Source organism: Homo sapiens, chromosome 13 (assembly GCF_000001405.40).
Source record: "Homo sapiens chromosome 13, GRCh38.p14 Primary Assembly".
NCBI classification, from domain to species: Eukaryota; Metazoa; Chordata; class Mammalia; order Primates; family Hominidae; genus Homo; species Homo sapiens.
In genome coordinates this window covers 63,974,507-63,998,743 of record NC_000013.11, presented here as the reverse complement: position 1 = coordinate 63,998,743, position 24,237 = coordinate 63,974,507, and the positions used below count along the sequence as shown (strand labels likewise).

The 24,237-nt window shown below is 34.2% G+C and overlaps 1 long non-coding RNA gene and 1 pseudogene across 1 annotated transcript in view; both read left to right on the top strand.

The window, feature by feature from the left end:
* Positions 1–12,373, top strand: part of LINC00355 (long intergenic non-protein coding RNA 355) — an 89,641-nt gene extending 77,268 nt beyond the window's left edge. The window contains exons 5-6 of the long non-coding RNA NR_145420.1: positions 8,544–8,648; positions 11,705–12,373. This is a non-coding gene — a long non-coding RNA (long intergenic non-protein coding RNA 355). The remainder of the gene's footprint in view (positions 1–8,543; positions 8,649–11,704) is intronic.
* On the top strand, positions 22,321–22,964 carry NFYAP1 (nuclear transcription factor Y subunit alpha pseudogene 1; annotated as a pseudogene).

The window sequence follows — 24,237 nt, the reverse complement described above, 5'->3', positions numbered from 1 at the left end:
ATGGTAGAATTCAGGAGTGAAGCCATCTGGGCTTGAGCTTTTCTTTGTGTGTTGTTTTTGTTTAATCATATAGCCTTTTTATTTGTCACACTTATATTCAGATTTTCTACTTTTTCTTAATTTTGATAATGTCTATCTTTTTAGAAATTTGTTTATCTATACTTTTTAAGCTGAGACATATAATTATTCACACTATTGCTTTATTATTACTTTTATTTCTCCAAAGTCAGGAGTAATGGCCTGTCTTTTATTTCTCTTTCCAGTCATTTATGTTTTCTCTCTTTTTTCCTTGGTTAATCTAGTTTGTCAATTTTTTGTGTGTCTCAAAGGACTAGCTTTTTTTAAAAAAATACAAAAATAACTTTCTCTGTTACATTTATATTATTTAATTTATTTTGGTCCAGGCACAGTGGCCCACACCTGTAATCCCAGCACTTTGGGAGGCTGAGGGAGGAGGATCGTTTGAAGCCAGGTGTTCAAGACTAGCCTGGACAATATAGCGAAACCCTGTCTCTAAAGAAAATAAAAAATAAATAAAATATCCAGGTGTGGTTGTGTGCACCTGTAGTCCCAGCCACTTGGCAGGCTGAGGCAGCAATGTCACTTGAGCCCACAAGTTGAAGACTTCAGTGAGCTATGATCATTCCAACCTAGGTGACAGAGAGAGACTCTGTCTCTTAAAAATAAATTTAAAAATAAAAATTAATTTGTAACTACAATACTCCTTATTATTTGTATATATAGCTTCAGCAACAGGTAGGTATGGCCAGGATGAAAACTTCTGAAATTCTGTCTCTCCTGGAAAGATAGTCTTTTTATTGTTACTTGGGGGAGAGGGATCTGCATCAGTATGGAGTGGAGTTTCTGTCTCACTGAGTGGGAGGGGAAGGAGGAGAGGTCTCAGTTCAAGTAGCACAGACTCTTGTTGTCTTTATCAAACTGCAGTAAATATTCTTGAATAAATGCTTCTTTGTTTGTTGTATATACTAAGGAAAATTTCCAGAGACTTTAGTTTTTTTAAAGTATATATAAATTTTATCAGTTTATCAGAGAAATATGTCCACAGAGCTACTCAAACTACCATACTTAAATCTGTCTCTCATAAAGCAGTTTTAATTACTTAAATATTAACCATTCTTTACAACAACACTTTGTGGTAGGTTATTTTCATTATCACTTCCATTTTACGTATGAAAAATGTAAGGTGCAAACAAGTTAAGAAATTTCTTTTTAATTCACTATCTACATATTTATAACTTGCACAAATAAAAAGAAGCAGAAGCAGGATTTTAACCTAATGTGATGGTTAATTTTATGTGTTAACTTTAATGAGTTACAACATACCCAGATATTTGGTTAAACATTATTTATGAGGGTGTCAGTGAGGGTGTTTTTGGAAGAGATTAGTATTTGAGTTCGTTGAGCATTACCCTCCTCCGTGGGGTGGGTATCATCCAATTCACGGAGGGACTGAATAGAACACAAAGACCAACAAACGATGAATTCTGTCTTTCTCCCTGATGACTCAGCTGGGACATTGGTCTTATTGGGACATGGGATTTACATCATAGATGCTACTAACTCTCATGCCTTTTGGCTTGAACTAGAATGTATACCATTATTCTCTTGATTTTTAGACCTTTGACACAGATTGGAACCACTGACTTCCCTGGGTTTCTAGCTTGCAAATGGCAGATCAGGGGACTTCTCAGCTTCCATAACCAGTGAGCTAATTTCCTATAATAAATTTATACACACACACACACACACACACACACACACGCACATTGTTGGTATTTATTTGGTTTTTCTGAGAAATCCTAATATATCCAGGCACTATGACTCAAAATTTTTTTTCATACTCTGCAACCTCATGCTTTTCAAGTTGCACAAAAACTTCTTTCATCACTGTGTTTGAAGATAGTAGGCTAAAATAAGATATTGTAGCATAGTAAGAAAATCACAGATTTTGGTAATCGGATTTACCTGGAATCAATGACTATATTTGTCACTCAGTATTATGTGCAAGCAGATAAATAACTACAACTTGTGTAATTGAAAATTGAAAAAAATCTCTAATATAATTCTATTGAGACCTGAACTTATTCATCATATATGATGTGGTTAATATGTTTCTAGGGATGTAGTGTTTGTTGAAATGGCTCCATAGTAAATAGACATTTTTGGCAAGATATGTCAGAAGATTTATGATTTAAATAAGCAGTATTTGCTGGAAATATTTTGTCATATATTGATATACACAAGAGGACTTTATTAAGTGTCAATTCACAGAAACGTGGTAAACTGTGTGCACTTGAATTCTGACACTTACAGACTTTCAGCAGCTTCCCTCTGTTTATACATTTTCTGGGCCAATAGATGTTACCACTGATTTCAGCAAATACTCTGCAAATTATTGTGCCAGCTATGTTTCAAACTGTGCAGTGACTAGTAAAACTATATATTTAAATCTAATTTTTGTAATGTAGCATCTGCCCTTTGAAGTTTAGGAGGCAAAATGAACTAAATAATAGACAACATGAAGCTGTTAAGTTTGTGATATTGCTGCATATATCACTGTACTATGTACTTTTCTATACTAGACCCATTCACTATCTAGGACTCCATTGGCTTATGAGTTATAACAAGTACTGTGGCTGCATATACACTTTCATGTTCATGATAAATATGGAAGAAATATTTTTACCTTGAATTTATGATGATGTGGCCAATCTTTGCATTTAAGTATGCTTATATGTACATGATTTTTCTATGAACATAAAGAGTGAAACTCTGACATTGTTTTATCTAAAACCTAGTAGTTTTCTACCTTGTTAAATACTAATTTATCTCTATACCCTCAAATAATTCATCATTTAGTTTCAAGAGACTTTTTTTTGACTAGAGTTGAATGAAATTGAGGGGAAATGAAGCAAAAATATTCTTTTGTAATTCAATTACTTCACTTGATTTATGCAATGCATTGTGGCTGAGGAGATATATATTTCAAGAAAAAGCAACAAAACAAATACCACTTTATTTCCATAATAACACTGTTTTTCTCAAAACATCTCAGGTTGATAGTGTATACATTAAATGTGTAATATAAACAGAATAGTTTGTAACGTCTTTTAAAATGTATTAATATGGTTGACTCTTATCTGATGGGTGTCAGACTCTAGAGGATGGGCTAATACTAGATTAAGTTTTATTAAAAGATTTTATTGTTTTTGATTATAACTCACTTAAAATATGACTTCATATTTCTGGTGAAAGAGTCTAGTGTGTAGAAGCATAGCCTAGTTCTTTGCTGTTTAGATTCACTGATTAAGTTTCTGTGGCTGATTAGTTTTGCTGGGCTAAATGTAGGTCAAACTTGAACTAGCAGAACTTATAGCATTTAAATGTTCTTCTGATGCAATTAGTCTATAGGGCATTATTTTATGTTCCAGGCTGTAAACAACTTGAAAATATCAGATATAGCTATAGTTACCAACTGGAGATTAACACTAGATACTAAAATTTCAACAGCAGTGTAATTCAAACAAATTCAATTTTTACAATGCTCCCTATGTTACCATAGCTCAACGAACATAATTTGTTGATTTTGAATAAGTATTCTAAGTTTCAGGTTTATTAAGATATTTTCTATTTCTTGATTATTTGTGGTATTTTTCTCTAATCAATGAATGAATCATTTCTCTCATAAATAGCAATTTTAGGAATTAAAGTATTTAATAATACATTTGGTAGAATATCATTAGAATACTTCCTACGGTGAGATCTACTATTTCAACATTCACTACAGTTGACTAATGGCATTTTGGTATTCATTTTAGTACAAAACTGTGAAAAGTGTTGACTCACTGTGGAGAAAATGGAAAAAATACTACTTTCTTATAATAGGTAAAGTTGAGAAAAATGTTCTAAAAATTGTGAGAATATTATTTTTAAGTTTAACTTTTAATGCACAAATAATAATAGCATATGTTTCTGGGGTACAATATGATTTCAGTACATAAATAGTATTTTTTTAATTTAAAATGTTTTTTGAATGCCTATAATGCACCATGTATGGATTAGAAACTAGAAAATCACTTAAAAGATTATCAACTTTATTAGTCAAAAGGGAACTGCAAATTAAAACCATAGTAAGATATCATTCCACAAATATTAAGATTAAAAAAAATAAGAACAACAAAAACAACACTGACCATCCCAAGTTTTGGCTAGAATGAAGAACAGCTGGATCTGTAATATATTTCTGGTGGCAATGTAAAATAGTACAGTCATTTTGGAAAACAGTTTGGCAGCATCTTTATAAGCTCAATGATAAGTAACCCTTAAATTCCAGAAATCTCACTTCTATATATTTACTCAATGAAATAAAATAATTATGTTCAAATAAAACCCAGTAAGTGAATGTTCATAATGGCTTTATTTATAATCACCTAAAACTGGAAAACATTCAAATGTCATTTAACTGATCAATCAATAAACTGTAGCATATTTACATGTTAAAGAGAAATAATATGGATGAATCTCATGCATGATGCTATGTGAAAATACCCAACTTCCAGAGTGTATGCATATTATGATTCCATCGATATGGCTTTGTGGAAAACTAAAAACAATAAGGACAGGAACCATCAGTGCTGCCAAAGGCTGTTGGTTGAGGAGATGTTGACTATAAACTAATATGAAGTTGACATGGAGAGGTTTTGGAGTGACTGAACTGTTTTTTGTCTTGCTTGTGCTGATGGGTACACAACTGAGTATTTTTCAAAACTTGTAGAACTGTGCGCTAAAAATGGTCAGTGTTGTTGTATTAAGTTATACCTAATAAAAATGATAAAATATTTAAGAAAAAAATCTGATGAGTAGATTTGTTACCACCATGATTGCCATACTTATATAATCAGAGATCACACAATAGTCAAAAGAAATGAATGAATCCTAGTAATAAAATGCTCAAAGAAGTAAATCCCAAAAAGTGCATACAGCATGACATCTTCCTTATAAAGTCAACTAAAACTCAGTAGCGTATTTTGTTCTTTTAGGAATTTCTGCAGTTGTGACTTCTGTGCATGTGTGTATGTGTATGTTTATGTGAGTGTGTGCATAAAGTAAGGTCATGGTCTACATAAGAGCCAGGATATTGATTTCTTCTGTGTCACAGAAAAATGTGTAAAATTTATTTTTAATTTCAGTGGTATTTGTCGTCTTACAATTATCAGTATGTATGCTACTTATCCTCTTCCTGTGTATGAAATATTATACAATAAAAATTAAAAATAATAATATGACAGCGTTTATTATTGAGAATATTGAGGTAGATGTTTTAAATATATTATTTAATACTCAAGGACTAGAATCAGAGATAAGACCTACACTAAAAATTAGACATTGTCATTTTGTCTTTGTGATCTTTGACAAAATATTTAGACTTTAATAGGTCAAACATTTTTAGTTAAATAATGAATAATAAATAACATTATCCTTTGAAAGTTCTTGAGGAGAAAAAAGAAATGATTTCATCCTACATAGAATAGCTCAGGTCTCTAATTACTTAATAAATATTGATAATGCATTGTTTGTATTGATCTTATTAAAAAGTTAAATTCTGCTTTGGCAAAAACAATAGGGATAATAACAATAATGAACTTTTTTCTCATTAAAATTATCTTTTGATTTTTAATATTTGTAGTTATAATGTATTAAATTTAAACATTACATTTATCCCAAATATTTAAGACCATGTACTCATGAGATGCTTGCTGAGGATCAAATCCTATGTTCATATTTGAAAGAGAGAATAGTGTTAGGCATAAAATAATCATAAATGTAAAACAATTCCTAGGGGAAATGTGCACATATTATTTCAAATTACATTTTAAGTTTGTGAAAATCATACAAAAAAGCTTTTTAAGGCTATTTTGTAATTATATAACTTTTCCTATTCCAGAGTTTCATCTGATCTAACAATATTTTTTCTTTCATATCTCCTGTGAAATTTAAGATTATGCGACATGCAGGTAGAAGGAAACTACTGTATTGCTCATGGCAGAAACTGAAGTTTTCTCAAAAGTGATTTCACAAATTGATCTCTTAACACCCAGAAAATGATTGAATGTTCTTCTGTGGTTTTATATTTTGCTATCTGAGACAAAATATTCTTAATGCACATTATTTATTCTGTTAAGAAAATAATTGGTACCCTTGAACATTATATGCTTTTGTTAGAAGATACTCCTATCAAGTCAAACAAAAGAAGATTCTTATTACTGAGAATCTATCATAATAGTTAGCGTTAGATCTGTTTTTTTAAAAAAAAAAACTGCCCTAGAATCTTAGTCCATACATTTTGTTTCCTTTTATTTTTTATCTTACATATATTATGAAAATAAGCAATATTATACTTCTTGTATTGTTATTTATTAATATTTAAACAATTTGTTATGCAATTTTATTAGATTAACCATTTTGAAACTGAAGTATTAGGACAAAATTATAATAGATTTAATAGGAGGAATTTTCAATAGCAAAATATTAATTATATATCCAAAATATTGTATCCTTTTTCTAAACTTTTCTTAAATATTTTGAGTCCTCTCATATGACTGTAAATATTTCAAGTTAATAGTACATATACTGTGATTGCTCACGGAAGTTAGGGTCGTATGTTTAAAAAGTATTTTAATCATCCTTAGGTAAAATGCAAAAATAAAGGCATTCATTTTCCGAAATAAACTGTGGCCTCACATGTTTTTACAAGACAGATGAAAATTACCTTTGGGATTTACAATGAAGAATCTAGATAATTACCTCTATTCTGATGAAATTGCTGTGTGCTTAATTATATGCAATTATTTTCTATATTATAAATGTTTCACTTTTGTGTTGCCATTTCACAGCCTTACATCTCCGACTCTCAATACTAGAGAAAGAAAGATCCAAATATTTTCTTGAATTGTTCTGTGAATTATATCTCTACCCAAGTAGAAGAACCATTTTTATGATTATCTTAGGGGTCCACAGTGAAATCACCAATTGAACTGGTGGCTAAAGGTCATAAGTGTCTTTCTGCAATTGTTGATAACTTTTGCAATTCCCAAGTGTAATATTCAAGAACAAAATTTAGACAACACTTATGTCTAATTAAGAAATATGTTTCTTTTATATGTATCGAAGGGAGAGAACATAAGATGCTTATAACTATCATCTTATCTGAACTTGAGGAAATTATGGGCTTTTGCCATAATGTTATTTAGAAGGAGATCAAAATATTGGAACAAAAATGTTCGCAATTACTTAAAGTAGATTGGCTTTAAATGTGTGTGATATTCTATATCAGGAAATTGGGACTTGAGGCTCATGGCTCATTTAAGTCTCACCCACAACTACTCTCAAACAAATCTGAAATATATATTTAGTAATTCTGGAGTTTGTTGTAGGTCCCAGGGTGTCAAAACATCTCAATTTTTTCAAGACGTATGCATTTCACAAAGAGCTTATATTTCCAAGAGCTCAAAGGATGGGTTCAGGTCAGAGGCATTCCAATACAAAAAGACAATGCTGTTAGTAGCAGTCTATTTCTTAAGTTCGCCTGCCAATTCCATCATCCCAAATAGACGTGGTTAAGCTCATAGTGTTTTTTTCTAAGGGAAGTGACATTTACACAAGTCAACTTTGGAAGTTCTTGTAATTGAAGAATTTTAAGGAATACTTTGAAATCTGCAAACATGGAATAGGGTTGATATGGATCCTGATTTACATGGTGTAGGAAATATTCAGGAAGAATATATATTTTTATATTCTATGTTCATTGCTCTCTGTCTTGGTTTATATGTTACTCCTCAACCATGGTAATCGTAAAGAATAAGGTTAGCTGTGATTAGTTTATCTGGATTATAATTGATAACAAATGCTTGAGAAATATCATTTTTTCATGATGTTTGTCAAAATAAAATAAATATTACTATTATTTCTGGCAAGGTTAATTTTCCAAAACAAAAAGTATCTGCATATTAAACACAGGGGATATTTTAATCCTGAGACTATATCATAAAGTTAGTGTTAGTTCTATCTTTTTTTTAATCTTCCTCAACTTTGTATCAAGGAGAAAACATTGTTATACACACCATCCAGGAAAAAGATACGGTGTTTGAATCACCATGAAATGCCAAAATAATAGCTGAGTTACACAGATTTTCTACTAAGTCCCTGGATATAAATTTATACAATTAGAAGCACCAGACCTTCCACATAATAATAACCCAAGAGAAAACCAATTATATTATTTCTTTTCCAGTCCCAAGGGGTCATGTTAAATTTTTCAGTGAAACAATATGCACTCTTAAATGGAAACATTTGTCTCTTTCAAACTAAAATAGCAGCATGAAGGTAAGGAAAGCTCACTTTTATGTGGCAATTTTCACATTGCCAAGTGCTAGGCATTGTTCTAAGTATTTCATACTACCTCATTTGACTCTTTCAATCAACGTATAAGGTAGGTAAGTTTCATTATTCTCCTCATTTTCCAGATGAGAAGACTGGGACATCCATCAGATAAGAAACGCTGCCCAAAGTGTTAGACTAATAAGTGACAGGGTTGGACAATGAACCCAACCACTCAACCTTCCGGAAAAGTGAGTTTTAAACAATAGATTATGCTAATCTTATCAGAAAAAAACGACATTGTCCGGGCACGGTGGCTCACGCCTGTAATCCCAGCACTTTGGGAGGCCAAGGCGGGCGGATCATGAGGTCAGGAGATGGAGACCATCCTGGCTAACACGGTGAAACCCCGTCTCTGCTAAAAATACAAAAAATTAGCCGGGAGTGGTGGCGGGTGCCTGTAGTCCCAGCTACTTGGGAGGCTGAGGCAGGAGAATGGCATCCACCCGGGAGGCGGAGCTTGCAGTGAGCAGAGATCGCACCACTGCACTCCAGCCTGGGCGACAGAGTGAGACTCGATTTCAAAAAAAAAAAAAAAAAGAAAAAGAAAAAAACGACATTTCTGGAGCAAGTTTTCAAGAATAATGTCCTATCTTCTTGTTGCCACACTGTACGTCAGGTCTCAAGTGATGAATTAAAAAACAAAACAATAATATTGTAGCTCTTTTGCTATATTTTATGATAAAGTAAAATAACTCTATTTTCTAGAACCTAGGTTGTCACACTTGTAGAAGATGAGAAAGTAGTACGCTTGACTTCACCTACAAACCATTTATTGTATAACCTAACACACTAAGAGGCCCTTTATTTCTCATGCATGTATCAAAAATGCTATAAAGTTACTATTGAAACATAATAATTAGTGAAAATAATATCTCTTACCATGCAGATTAGAACTTTTCCTATAGAAGTCCAGATACTCAGTGACCTAAAGAAAAATCTTCTTACATAAAAAAGGTTTCAACATATAATAATAAAACGTACCTATCCAGGTAGTCATACCAATTAGCCGATACAATCTAGAATTATGGAAATCTGGTTGGTTGTAAGCACTTTCTTTGACTCTTCCTTTTCATTTCTTTGGCCTTGAAAATAAAGTGGCACAGCAATAAATTCAGGTAAAGAACATACTGGTGATAATTTTATATTCAGTTCAAGTTCAGTTGATCATGTTAGGTGGAGTGCTTTCATTAAAATTCAACAATATATCTTGGACATTTTATTGTTTTGTTTTTTCTTTCAGCACGCAACTATGTAGGTATTCCAAAATATATCTAGAAAGATTCCCAGTGCTTTCTGCATTCTAAATGTGCAGAACCTTCATGGTTCCTTTTTGAATTACACATATTAATATATTTTCAATTTCATTTTTCTTATGAAAAATAACATGCTTCTTGTCTGTTTTGTTATCTGCTTTTTAGTCATAATAAAAATGTTACTTTAAGTCAAAAAAAGCTACAAAATCAACTTCAATCTGGATTATATGCAGGAAAAACATTACAAAAGTGACAAATTGATTTTATGTCTGTCTAATCATTATTAATCATCTTCTCTACTTTTGTTAGTGAATAACCAAATTAATAAAAATTTAAGAACATATCAAATAAGTAAAAGTAACAAGTTTTAGTAATGCAAAACTAAACAGATAATTTGAAAACGTGTATAGTTTGAAATTATAGAGAAATCCTCTCAATTTGTGTAAAAAAATAATGAAAGCAATATGATTGAATATGAAGCAATATTAGGTAGTACTGAAGCAATTTTTTTTTCATATTTTGGCTATATACTAGGTAATTAAAATCCTTCATCAGTTCCCTTCCCCTTTATCACAGGCTCTTTTTATTTCACAGACCATTTCCTTAACTTCATAGTGTTTTTCATCTCATGGTTTATAACAAATTCCCAAAATAAATTTGGATCCATTTTAACATCCAATTTCTTGCCAGAGTGAGCCTGACCTATCCTATTCTCACTTACTCTGCTCAGCTATGTTTTTGCAACATTTCCATCTTCAGTATCAAAAAATGTATGTTATAGAATGCCCTATAAATGGCATATTGAGAATAAAGTGATGAATAGAAATGACATGAAAAATATCAAGTTTCTAATGCCCAGAAAAAATGTTAAACATGAGCCTAAAACTCAAAAAACTTCACATAGATTAAACTTATTTAAATAACTTTTGCTCTCAAAGTTGATTATTTACCAAAACAGAGTGTGGGTCACTAGTTTACAAGTACTAAATGATCAATATGAGCAAAGATCATTAAAAATTTCATTCATTAAACTGTCCCATTAATATCAATTAGAAGATACTTATTCATTGATTAGCTTAATATTTACTACATAAAGGTATGTAATTTTTTGTGTTTTAACTAAATGGGCACATATATGTATGCAAAAGTTGCCCTATCCCATTCAGCATACATAACAACTTATTTGGCAAAACAAAAATTCAGGAATAATATACAAGAGATCTATTATACACCATGGTGACTATAGTTAATAACAATATATTGTACCCTTGAACATTGCGTTTTAGAATGTAGATTTTCGTTGTTCTCATCACAAAAGAATAATAAGAGTTCATGTATATGTTAAATAGCTTAATTTAGTTATTACACAATGTACATAAACATCAAAACATCATGCTGATCACCATAAATATATATAATTCTTGTCAATTATAAGAAAAATAGAGTACAGTTTTGATGTTCTTGCACAATTAAAGAGAAAGGAGAAGAAAAGTGGAGTCCCTGGGGCAGATATTGAGTGAGTTAGGATATTGGAGGATTTGTGTTGGAGCAAAACAGGACTGCAATGAAATGTCATGCTTGAATGCATCTTGCTTTTGGTAACTGCCTGAGGTAAGCTTCACAGGCATATTCACAATTAGTCTCACTGAACCACATTTGACTAATATAATTTGGCTCACAACTATGCTATCTACACCACTAGGTGAAGCACTTCTTTATTTTATTTTATTATTATTATACTTTAAGTTTTAGGGTACATGTGCACAACGTGCAGCTTTGTTACATATGTATACATGTGCCATGTTGGTGTGCTGAACCCATTAACTCTTCATTTAACATTAGGTATATCTCCTAATGCTATCCCTCCCCCGCCCACCCCACAACAGTCCTCGGTGTGTGATGTTCCCCTTCTTGTGTCCGTGTGTTCTCATTGTTCAATTCCCACCTATGAGTGAGAACATGTGGTGTTTGGTTTTTTTGTCCAACAACAGGTGCTGGAGAGGATGTGGAGAAATAGGAACACTTTTACACTGTTGGTGGGACTGTAAACTAGTTCAACCATTGTGGAAGTCAGTGTGGCGATTCCTCAGAGATGTAGAACTAGAAATACCATTTGACCCAGCCATCCCATTACTGGGTATGTACCCAAAGGATTATAAATCATGCTGCTATAAAGACACATACACACGTATGTTTATTGTGGCACTATTCACAACAGCAAAGACATGGAATCAACCCAAATGTCCAACAACGATAGACTGGATTAAGAAAATGTGGCACATATACACCATGGAATACTATGCAGCCATAAAAAATGATGAGTTCATGTCCTTTGTAGGGACATGGATGAAGCTAGGTGAAGCAATTCCTTTCCTGAGGAAAATAGAACTCACTCTGCTCTGGCTTGTATGAGGAGGAATAGGATATAAGCAGTTGAGGAAGAACGGTCCATGAGTTGCCATCCTTCCCTCTTCCTGCCTGCCAGAAGAGGTAGAGCCCACTGAAGAAGGAGCAGAATAAGGAATGGAAACCTTAGTTACAAGTCCAAGAAATTCTACCCACTCTACTATTTTTTTATGTGTAACTTGATTTATAGTTTTTACTTTGAAAGAATGTAACTATTGTACATGTTTCATAAAGTATCAATAGCTGAATAGACCAAGAAAAAATGATTGTCTACCCGCTTTCTATGCCCACTCTTTTGCTGGTGGATCTTTTTGCAGTAATGGTCAACAGGACTAGCTAGCTCTTTCCCTTAATGTCTACAAATAAACCTGCAAGTTCTTTTAGTTTTAAAGGAAATATTCATTGCCACAGGGAATAGGCAGGGGATAATAAAACATAATGAAGTGAGAAAGATTCTGTGTCAGTCGGGTTAGATGATGTTTTGCTGTGACAACAAACAAGTCTCCCATATCAGTTAAGATTTAGGATAATCTAAGTTAAGATTTAAGTAAATTTCCTTGCAAATCTAGGTGGTCGTCAGAGCAATTATCCTTTACAAGCCACACCAAAAGAGGCTTAACCATCTTGTAGACATATATCTGAATATAGAACTTTCTACTTCTGTGGGCCAGAGAATGAGTGAATGAAAGACTCAAGCACTAGCTAAATTCTTTCACCCAGAGACAACATATATTATTTCCACTCATATTTTCTTGGTCAAAAATCATACAGGAATGCTAACTTTTGGGATCAGGTCAGTATAATATTTCTTTGCAACCAGTATAGAAAAGAAATAGAGATAATTTCTTCCACAATTCTAATCTTACAAGTTCCTTAATCTATGGTTTCTGAATGTATTTTAGCATAATAAAAGAAAGTTTACAAGTATGAGGTTTCATACATGATTATCAAATAATAAGGTATGAATTAAAATACATAGGTATAGCTAGGATGCTTAACTGGAGCTAGAATGTAAAAATTATTATATGTAATACACACACACACACACACACACACACACACACAGAGTCATGTACCACGTAACAATGCTTCCATTTACAATGAACCACATATTTAACAGTGGTCCCATTAGATTAAAATACCATATTTTTACTCTACCTTATCTATGCTTAGAAACACAGATACCTATGAATGTGTTACAAATGCCTTTAGCATTCAGTAAAGTAACATGTTATATGGGTTTGTAGGCCAGGAACAATAGGCTAAACCGCATAGTTTAGGTACATAGTAGGATATCCCACCTATGTTGGTGTAAGTACACTCTATGATGTTCAAAAAATGCTGAAGAGTCTAATGACCCATTTCTCAGAATGTACCGCCATCGTTAAGTGAGACATAATTGTTTATATATATATATACATACACACACATATATACAGGCATACCTCATTTTTGTTTCGCTTTATTGTGCTTTTTTAGATACTGCGTGTTTTATATAAATTGAAAGTTCGTTGTAACCTTGTGTCGTGCTAGCGGATTGGTGCCTTTTTCCAATAGCATGTGCTCACTTCCTGTCTCTGTGTCACATTTTGGTAATTCCTGCAATATTTCAAGCTTTTTAAATATTATTTTATCTGTTATGGTGATCTGTGATCAGTGATCTTGGATGTTATGATTGTAATTCTTTTGGGTATCATAAACTGGATCCATATAAGATGATAAACCTAATTGATAAATGTTGTGTGTGTTCTGACTGTTTAAGCAACTGGCTGTTACCCCTTTTTTCAGACCTCCCTATTCACAGACATACAACAATATTGAAATTAGGCCAATTAATAACCTTATAATGCCCTTTAGACATTCAAGTGAATAGTCACAGGTCTCTCACTTTAAATCAAAAGCTGGAAATAATTAAGCTAAGTAAGGAAGGCATGTTGAAAGCAAAGACAGGTCAAAAGCTAGGCTTTTGTACAAAACAGCCAAGTTGTGTATGAAAAGGCAAAATTATTGAAGGAAACTAAAAGTGCTACTCCTGTGAACACAAAGATGATAAGAGAATGAAACAACCTTATTGCTGATATGGAGAAAGTTTGAGTGGTCCAGATAGACGATCAAACCAGCCACAAAGCCTAAGAGTTATAAGCCTTGCCTGTTCTGCAAGCCAGAAAACTCAAAGCCTAATTCAGAACAAGGCCCTAACTATCTTCAATACTACAAAGATTGAGAGAGATGAGAAAACTTCAGAAGAAAAGGTTGAAGCTAGCAGAGGTTGGTTCAGGAGGTTGAGAGAAAGAAGCTGTCTCCATAACATAGAAATGCAAGCTGAAGTAGCAAGTGCTGACATAGAAGCTACAGCCAAGTATACAGAAGATCTAGATAGGATAATTAATAAATGTGGCTACATTAAACAAGATTTTCAGTGTAGATGAAAGAGCTTTCTATTGGAATAAAACACCATCTCGGACTTTTGTAGATGCAGTGGAGTCAATGTCTGGCTTCAAAACTTCAAAAAACAGGTTGACTCTTATTAGGGGCTAATGCAGCTGGTAATTTTAAATTGAAGACAGTTCTTATTTACCATTTTTATCTTTCAAAAAATCTTAGGGCCCTTGAGATATACATGAAATCTACTCTGCCTATGCTCTATAAATGGATCATTAAAGCCTGGGTAGCAGCACATCTATTTACAACATGGATCACTGAATACTTGGAACCTATTGTTGAGATCTACTGCTAAGAAGAAAAGATCCCTTTCAGAGTATTACTACTCATTGACAATGTGCCTGGTCATCCAAGAGCTTATATGGGAAGTATAAGGAAATTAATGTTTTCATACCTGCAAACACAACATTCTTTCTCCAGCTTGTGGGCCAATGAACAATTTTGACTTTCGTGTCTTATTGTTTAAAAAATGTATTTTGTAAGGGCATATCTCTCAAAGCTAGTGATTATTCTGATGGATCTAGGCAAAGTAAATCCAATTTTCTGGAAAGGGTTCACTACTATAGATGCCAATAAAAACATTCATGATTCATTGAGAAAGTCAAAACATCAACATTAACAAGAATTTGGAAGAAGTTAATTCTAATCCTCATGAATAACTTTGAGGAACTCAAGACTTCAGTGGAGGAAGGAACTGAAGATATGGTAGAAATAACAAATGAACTGGAATTAGAAGTGGAGCCTGCAGAAGTGACTGCATTGCTCCAATCTCATGATGGATGAGGGGCTGCTTCTTATGAATGAAGAAAGAAAGTGGTTTCTTTAGATGGAATTTAATTCTGGTGAAGATGCTGTGAATATTGTTTTAATGCCACCAAAGGATTTAGAGTATTCCATAATACTTGGGATATTGATAAAGCAATGGTGGGGTTTGAGAGGACTGACTCTAAATTTGAAAAAACATTCTTGTGGATAAAATGCCATCAGACAGCACCACATGCTACAGAGAAAACTTTTAAATAAGGAAGAGTCAATCATTGTGGCAAACCTCATTGTTCTTTTATTTTAAGAAATTCACACAGCCATCCCAACCTTTAGAAACCACCGCCTTGATCATTCAGCGGCCATCAATATTGAGGAAAGACCCTCCATAAGCAAAAGGATTACAACGTGCTAAAGGCTTAGATGATCACTCGCATTTTTTAGCAGTATTTTAAATTAAGTTATGTAAATTGTGTTTAAACATAATGATACTGCACACAATAAATTACACTAAAATATAAACATAACTTTTATATACACTGGTAGACCAAAAAAATTGTGTGACTCACTTTATTATAATATTTAATTTAGGCCAGGCATGGTGGCTCACACCTGTAATCACAGGCGTAGGTTGAACAGCCAGATGTGGAGACACTGTCCAGCTGTACAAGTTATTTTTACATAGAACAACTTATTGCACATATCTGTATCCATGTAAACAAATACTTATGTAGGGCAGGAGATATAACAGTCTTCCTTGTTAAAGAAGACACTTCAAGTTCAAAAGAGGCACTCTTCTATTTTAATGCTGCCCTATAAAATTGAGGCAAGCCCTTTGCCATCCTCTTAGAGAAAAAGTGAGGCATCAGGGCAGAGTTTTAATGACCTTCTGGACTGCTTATGATGACTTTTCTGAATGTTATTTATTATTACATAGTATCTCCTCCACATTTTGTTGATCTAGTTTCTAGTAAAAGATCACTTGATTTTATTTTTTATATCCCTACTAACCCATGTGCATGTACACACATACACAAAAAGCCATGACCAATATTTTTGTTTTATAAATGTACTCTGTAGACTTTGAAATAGCTGTAGAAGATTGAGAAAATAGCCTAGTGGCTTAAATGAGAAAAGAAAGATCAAAACAAATATGAGGCACAATCCCCTCTTGTTTTGTTTTAAGGAATAAATGAGCATTCTGACAGACCTCTAGCAGGGGGGCCTCTGGAAGAAAGCCAGCCAGGTCTCTAGGATCTTCTCTTGAGCACAACATGCAATTTGAAGAAGGTTTAGGATTCAAACCCAAGGGAGGGTTTGAAGCTTTGGACTCTGGAAGGTTTCAGAATTAGGAACTCTGGAGGTGGGCTGGGTTCTACTGATAGATCTCCCCAGGTGTGGTCCCTCCTTGCTCCTGCATTCACTCTTTCCTCAACACTCCTTGCAGCATCCTGCCTCAGCTGCTGCCTAACTAACAGATGGCTTATGATTTGTACAGGTTAGGAGACTATGACTCTTCATCTGTACTATAATTTGGGACACCTGAGGGGGACACTGTAGCTTGGTTACTTTCATCTGAGTCTTCTATGTCTGCCACTTATCATTGATTTATAATCCTATTACCTACATAATTAGTCACAAGTGGAGCACTGAATTTTGGAAGGGAGATTTCACTCTGTTCAAATGCAATCAGTCCATATGGTAGTTGCAGGAAATGAAAAAGAGGGAAGGTATCTAGGTCATTTCTCAGGCATACTTTAATCTATCCCTTGAGCCCAGATACTGTAGCAAATGCTATACCAGAGCACATATGCCTGACAATAGCTGAACATGAGGGCCACCCCCACCTATTAAGCCATTCTATATTCTATAGAGGACGCAAGTGTTCTGGGGTTAGTGTCAATATGGGGTGAGGCTAATGCCTCTTGACATAAAGAATTATTAAGGACAACAGTAAAATTAGTGGAATCATTGCAAGCAGGGTGAAAAGTTTTCCTGATGCCTTCTAATATAGGAAAAATGTGATGGTAGACGTGGCCATGCCTACCCTAATGTAACCAAAAGTAGTCCCAATCATGCAACAAAAAAACGGAACATGGAAAGATGAAATCGCTGCGTTTGTACTTATATTGCCTCCCAACCTCTGACCCCTACTACCACTTAAAATAGAAGAACAATCTATTTGATTTCTTTTCTCTAGCAGTTCCCTCTCTGTTTGTGGTTCTATTTGAAGGAAAGAAAATATGCTCAGCATGTACTTTTGAGTATAAATTGTATCTGATTTTTTGTTTTTGTTTTTGTTTTTGAGATGGAGTCTCACTCTGTTGCCCAGGCTGGAGTGCAGTGGCGTGATCTCGGCTCACTGCAACCTCCACCTCCCAGGTTCAAGCAATTCTCCTGCCTCAGCCTCCCGAGTAGCTGGGATTACAAGTGTCTGCCACCATGCCCGGCTAATTTTTTGTATTTTTACTAGCCTCGGCCTCCCAAAGTGCTGTGATTACAGGCAAGAGCTACCATGCCCGGCCTTATTTTTGAGATTTTTTAAATTTGCCTTTAAAGCTGTTTACTGAAGTATAATATAAATACTTGCAAGTAAATCAGAGTGTAGGTCAAATAATTTTAAAACACTGACTGTGTTGTGTAACTAGCATCCTAGATCAAAACTCTCAGAAGCCTTTTCATATTTCCTTTCAGTTTCTACTCTCTTCCAAAATATAGACAAATATAACTGATATTTTTTCTATTTTTTTCCCTCAAATGTATGAGTAGTATTGGATCTACTATTAATGTGCTTTCCAAGGTTGAAAATCTTTGCTTTAATAGGCCTAAACTACAGTCCAGTTCCATTTAATGCACATCTCTATAGCCTTATTCTGGTCAGTTTAATAGCTATTTTCAGAAGTATACAGTAATTTGGATCCAAAGATATAAGCAAATGGAAATCTGACTTGTAACATACTCTAGCTTGGGAGATTCTCCACAAATTAATTACCCTTGACTTTAATTAATGTAACCCCCAAGTAAATATAACTTAATATCCAACCTATAAAATATATTCCATTAAATCATAATAGTCTACTGGCATGCCAAATTTTTTTAACAGTGTTCATTTTTCATGCTTGTGAAGTAGATAAAATTGCATTGTATATCTTGAAATTTGGACTTCTCTTAGTGTTTATCTTCCTCTTACTGTTTATCTTCCTCTTAGTAAGAATGCAGCTTCCTCTCAGGGTAAAATCAGTATTGTTTTTGAATTTCCTTATCTGTTTATTTTCTTGATATTTTGGCAATTAATATCTTACCCTCATGCTAAAGTTCAATTCAAAGTATCAGAAATGTAAGAATCCCCCCACTATTCAATGAATCATCCTCTGAGGTTGTATTCTTTAGGTAAATGCAAGTTGTCTGCTTTTCACTGACATGATTATGCCAAATCTTACACAAATATTCCCAAACAGCATGATAAGCACACATATTATCAAAGGTATGGGAGGAGGAGAAACTATCATTTTGAAGACCAGTCCCTGTGGTAAAAATTTGATTGTGCAGGAAATGTGATTGGCACATCACATCTCCGACCTTGTTCATTTTTCAGTGAACCATGAATCTCAGAATATTAAATAAATAAGACTTTATATGTGATTTCACTCTCAAAAACTAAGAACAAGCAAAAACAACACAATAATAATAAACTCATACAAATACTCCTATATTTTATAATTTGGATTGCACTTGTTACTACAAAACTCTGCAGGTTTATTTCTTTGACAACACAAAATAAATGTGAATTTGGAACTTATGGGTTGAACTGTTAAAATATTGTGAACTATGCACAAACTGTGTATATGATGTAGAACTGAATAGTTTGCCCCATTATGAAATTTGTAATGTGATAGTAGACACTAGACACCTAACAAGAATTAATTTATTTAAAAAAAGGAAAATTACCTGTGGATATTTACAAACTTGTCTTTAGATTTTCAAAACATATTCTCTAAAGCTTTTCTCCTTTTATAACAATTTTAAACACACGTTCTGTAAGCTTTTCCTCTTTCATTACCATTAAATGGGACAGAAAGAGAGACTGGATGTAACTAAACTGAAAAGGAAAGTGGCAGATGACTCAAATAGGAGAAAATTTTAAAAAGGTTAAAATTATAGAAACACTCATTTGCTATAGATGTCATTAAAATTGTATATCAAAATATTTATGTGCCTCCTTTATCGAAAACATAAAAGCCTACCAGCTATACAAAATTGATAGTATGAAATAGGTTTCTCTCTCTGACATCACCCAGGATATTTTATTTACCTTATATATTTCCTTAAAAGAGAGTGAAATTACAAACCATTTTACCATAGGAATTTTAGGAAGATAATTTTTCATCTTTTCTGTATGGCAGTATTAAAAATCCAAATAGTAAAAATTTACAGAATGGCTTATTCTATTATGCCTTTTGCTGAATTTCTTCATTATTTATTAGTTTGTTTTTCAACTTATCCAAGGCTTTCAGTTGTTGTAGCCTCTGGGAAATATCCTCATATTATAAAATCCACATACAATTTAGAGTGATTGACAGGCTCCAATGAGGAGGGATCAAAACTGGACCAGCAGGGGCATTACATGTCAAAGAAGGTGCACAAACATATCCCAGAGATGCATAGAATTTCTTTATATATGTTTTACTAGGCATATATTTTGCATCAATGCCTAATTTGCTTAAATCTGGGAAAATATTTCATGCACTGAAAAGAGTAAATAATGAAGTAAAACTGAAAGAGTAAAATACATTGACTAAAAAAGCACAGTTGATGGTAGATGATGTACTGTACTGAAAGCGAATAAAACAACAGAAGATTCTTTCACTATTTCTTGAAAGATAATATGATCCATAATAGAAGACTCTGGACAACCAGGGGATAATGAAAGAAGTTAAATAATAACAGAATAGAATATGTAGAAAAATAATAAGTTTCTTTCTGAGGTTATCATGAAGAAAATTGCAGACAAGATGTCTGGATTAAAAAGAAAGCTTCAAAGAAGCAGCATGAATATTTTCTTTAAAATAAACACATGCAGTTTAAGACAAATGCTGATGGACACAATAAGGACTTCTTGATCATGAAATACATAAATCAAAGTCAAACACAGTTTTCAGAAAAGTTATGAATGCAGATGGCAGTGAGTTGATAAAGTAAAAGCACAAGTCCTTAATTGGTATAAATATTTACAAAATATTTCATATCATCATCCCTGTAGTAATTACATGTGGAGCTGAACAGAATATGTGCAGGACAGTGAAAATTTCTGTGACATTTTTCCTCATTAAGAGCTCACTTCTCTCTTTTAATTCTTTTCAAAAACAGTTTTATGAATACTTTTTTTCAGTTTTAATATAACTTTGTGAACCTTGAATGTGAACCCAAGTACTTTATAACTTACCAGTGTCATCATGCTGTTAAGACTTGCATCTGGAAAACACTTCGTGAGTTTGGGGGCTGTACAGTACCCCTGGACTTACAGTTGGAAAGGGCCCATACCTGAGTTAATGCTCTGCTATTGCTCGGTGGAAATTCTTAATTTTTGAACAAGGGACCCCACATTTTCGCTGTGCACTGGGCTCTGCAAATTATGCAGCCGGTCATGCATGCTTTCCTTCAAAGTTAAAAATCTATTTTGCTCTCTTTTTCCACTTCCCCACAGAGGCACATCTAAGGAAAATTCTATTGCCAGTAAAACTATCTTTAGGATGAATCACTATTACTCTCTCTCTCATTTCCTCTTTGTGGAAAATTTCTGAGGGATATTCTAAAATGTCTACAGATGTGGCATTATATGATTATTGTTGCTGCCTAGGGATTCCTCCTTATTGTTTTTCTCAAGTGTTTTATTGCTATAAATTAAGTTAGGAAACTCAGGGGCAACATAGATTTGTGAGAAAATGATGAACATGATGCTTTAAAATTATTATGGGGCATTCATTGGGAGATTTCTAGAAGGCATTTGGTGAAATGATCTGGAGTTTAGGAGACTGGTTTAGGATAGGAGTCATCAGCCTTTACGTTTTTCATGAAGTCATTTCTGTGAATGTCAGCAGTAAGGTTGAGTGTGTAAATTGAGAAGTTCAAGGCCAGATACCTGGGAAATGCTGACTTAAAGGGTCGCAATGAGAAGTTCATACTAGACAAAAGTAGCATACAGAGGGGTAGAATGAAGGAAAACAAAGTCAAAACTTAGAGAATACAGAAACAAGATTTAGATTTCAACTCCATTATATGTGTCTTATGCTATTGTCAAATTGGGCTGCGTTCCACTTTTTCGAAAGACACTACCCCTGTGTGTTTGCCAGAAATTCACCACTTTTTTATTGTCAAAATTGTCAAAGATCATGCTCAAATATCACTCTTTTTTGCTGTATTTACTGATTCTCAGAGATATTGTGATGCCCCAGAAATTTATTTCTACCTCTCTTTTAATTATTTCTTAGTTTGCCTTGTCATTGAGTTTTGTACTTTTCTTATCTTTTCTATTGCATAACACATGGTTTTTGTGCAAGATTCTTGGGCAAACATCTCTCTACCTCCATCAGAAAGTAATACACATGAGTGTACACATCAGTGTACACATGAGTATGCCCATGAATATTTGTTGAATATAAATAAATTGTTAGAATTGAGCTGAGTCTAGCTGGCTGATTGGCATAGCTGGTGGTTGTGGCCCAAAGCCTTTGAGCACCTATGGGCACTCTAGTCTGAGTCCTAGAGGGGCCAGTCCCACCCAGGAATGGCACCACTGGAGCAGGCACCTTGAGAGGTCTTAACCCTTGCAATATGTCAGTGCCAGGGGAAAACGCATCCCCTCCTCCCCAACCTTAGGCCCAAATTTTCAAGGCTGAGGCCCAGAGTGGGCTTGCCTGCCATAGACTCCCCCTATACTACATAGTCTTCTAGGATCTCTGTGGGGCTCACTGTGGGTGATCTTCCAACTTAGTTGGAACATGGAGCGACATGCAGTAAACAGCAATACCTCACCACAGAATACTGGTTTAGAGAGTGGACAGATTCTGCAGCAGGAAAGGGGTTATGCCTTGATGTTTCAAGTCAGTAGAGGCCTGTTAAATCACACCAAATGACAACAAATCATTGTCCAAGCTGTCCCTGAGGGACAAGGCTAAACCATCCTACAAGTATCTATGTTTGGGACACAGCCTTGTAGCAGATATAGTTGGTCTTGTGGAAATAGATCGAGGTCTGGGGGAAAAAAAGTGGAGGATAGAGATACAGAGGGAAAGACTTTACAGGTTCAGGGCCAACAAGACCAGACTCAGAAGATTGTCATCCAGCACGTGCAGACAGCCCTCACCACCAGCCAGACACACAAAGAAGCAGATTGCTATCCAAGGGCAGCAAGTAGGACAGATCATGGTCTACCAGCCAGTTAATGCAGATGGCAACATTCTCCAGCGAGTCACAGCCACCATCTCAGCAGCCACTTTGACAGTGGCATAGACTTTTCAGACAGCAAGCCAATACCAACACAACCAGCAGTGGGCAAGGAACCATCACTGTAACACTACCAGTGGCAGATTATGTGGTCACTTAAGGAGAGACAGTCATGATGGTGCCTGGGCTGTCTCTGTGACTGCCACCCAAAGAATCTCTCACCTGGAACAGAGATAGAAAGACAGCCTCCCAATGTGAATGTGGATAACAACTAGTGACATCATCTTTGTTAAGAGGATGTAAGCCTGGGCTGAACTAGAGGTACAAGGAACATTCCTAAGGGAAAAAAAAAAAAAAATATATATATATATATATATATATATATATATATCTGCATAATTCGTGGTATGGCATAAAAGTGTGGCAGAGTTGAATGTTTTTTTTTCCCAAAATAAAAGAATAGTCTCCATATGCAGGTTGCAGACCAAGTAAATGCAGCAGCAATGGCATGCAGAATTTGAGTGTTCTCAAACCAGGCCACATGATAGGGATGTATTATTTGTGACTGTGTTCCACTACTCAAGGAAATTGATCAGCTCTTCCAAAAGGACACCCATGATCATATTCTGCTCTTTTCTGCAGGACAGCAACCACTTAGTTTTTAATGACAGGCTCAATATTATAATTGTAGAAACATCTAGAAAAGTGAAATTGTATGCGTTTGTCTTTTCTTTTCAGTTCTGTGCCTATTTCATACTGTAGATAATATTGACAGTTCTTAGATTAGGATAAATCAAAGAACCCATGCCAGCCAAGGAGTACCACATAAGCACTTTTGCTGATGGGTGAAGCCGACCATCCATCTCAGCAGGAGAGAGTAACCTTTTCAACCTAAACCACAGTCAGGGAAGCTACAGTCCACACCTTCCCACAGAAATGTGGTTAGAGGGCATCTCTCTTTCTGGTTGGGTAGCTCAGTCTACCAAACTGCACAGGCATTTAATATTTAGAGATGACTTCCAGAAGAGGAAGTTTGTCTTCAGACATGAAAACAATAAGTCCTCTGAGATACAATAAATACATACATACATGAATTGTTTATCTTAAAGCAGTGATTTTCAAAAATCGCTTTAAGAAACCTCAGTTATATATAAAGAGTTGTTACTTTATAGCAGAGGAGTCCTTTGGCCAGTAATTTTGGTAAATATGTTGCAAACTCAAGCAGGTTTCTAATACTCTAGGACTTATCAAATCTTCTGTTATATTTAAGCTTTGTGAATCTTAGAGAGAGAGATAGAGTGCAACATTTGTCAAAATTATTTAACCATAAAATCAATGTATTCATTTCAACAATCTCATGAAACCAACTTTTCTGTGAAATATGCTTTGGAGAATATGTTAAGATTTAATTCTTTCTTATAGAATACAATATGGATCTATATGATGCTAATTTGGTCATATACATGTAAAA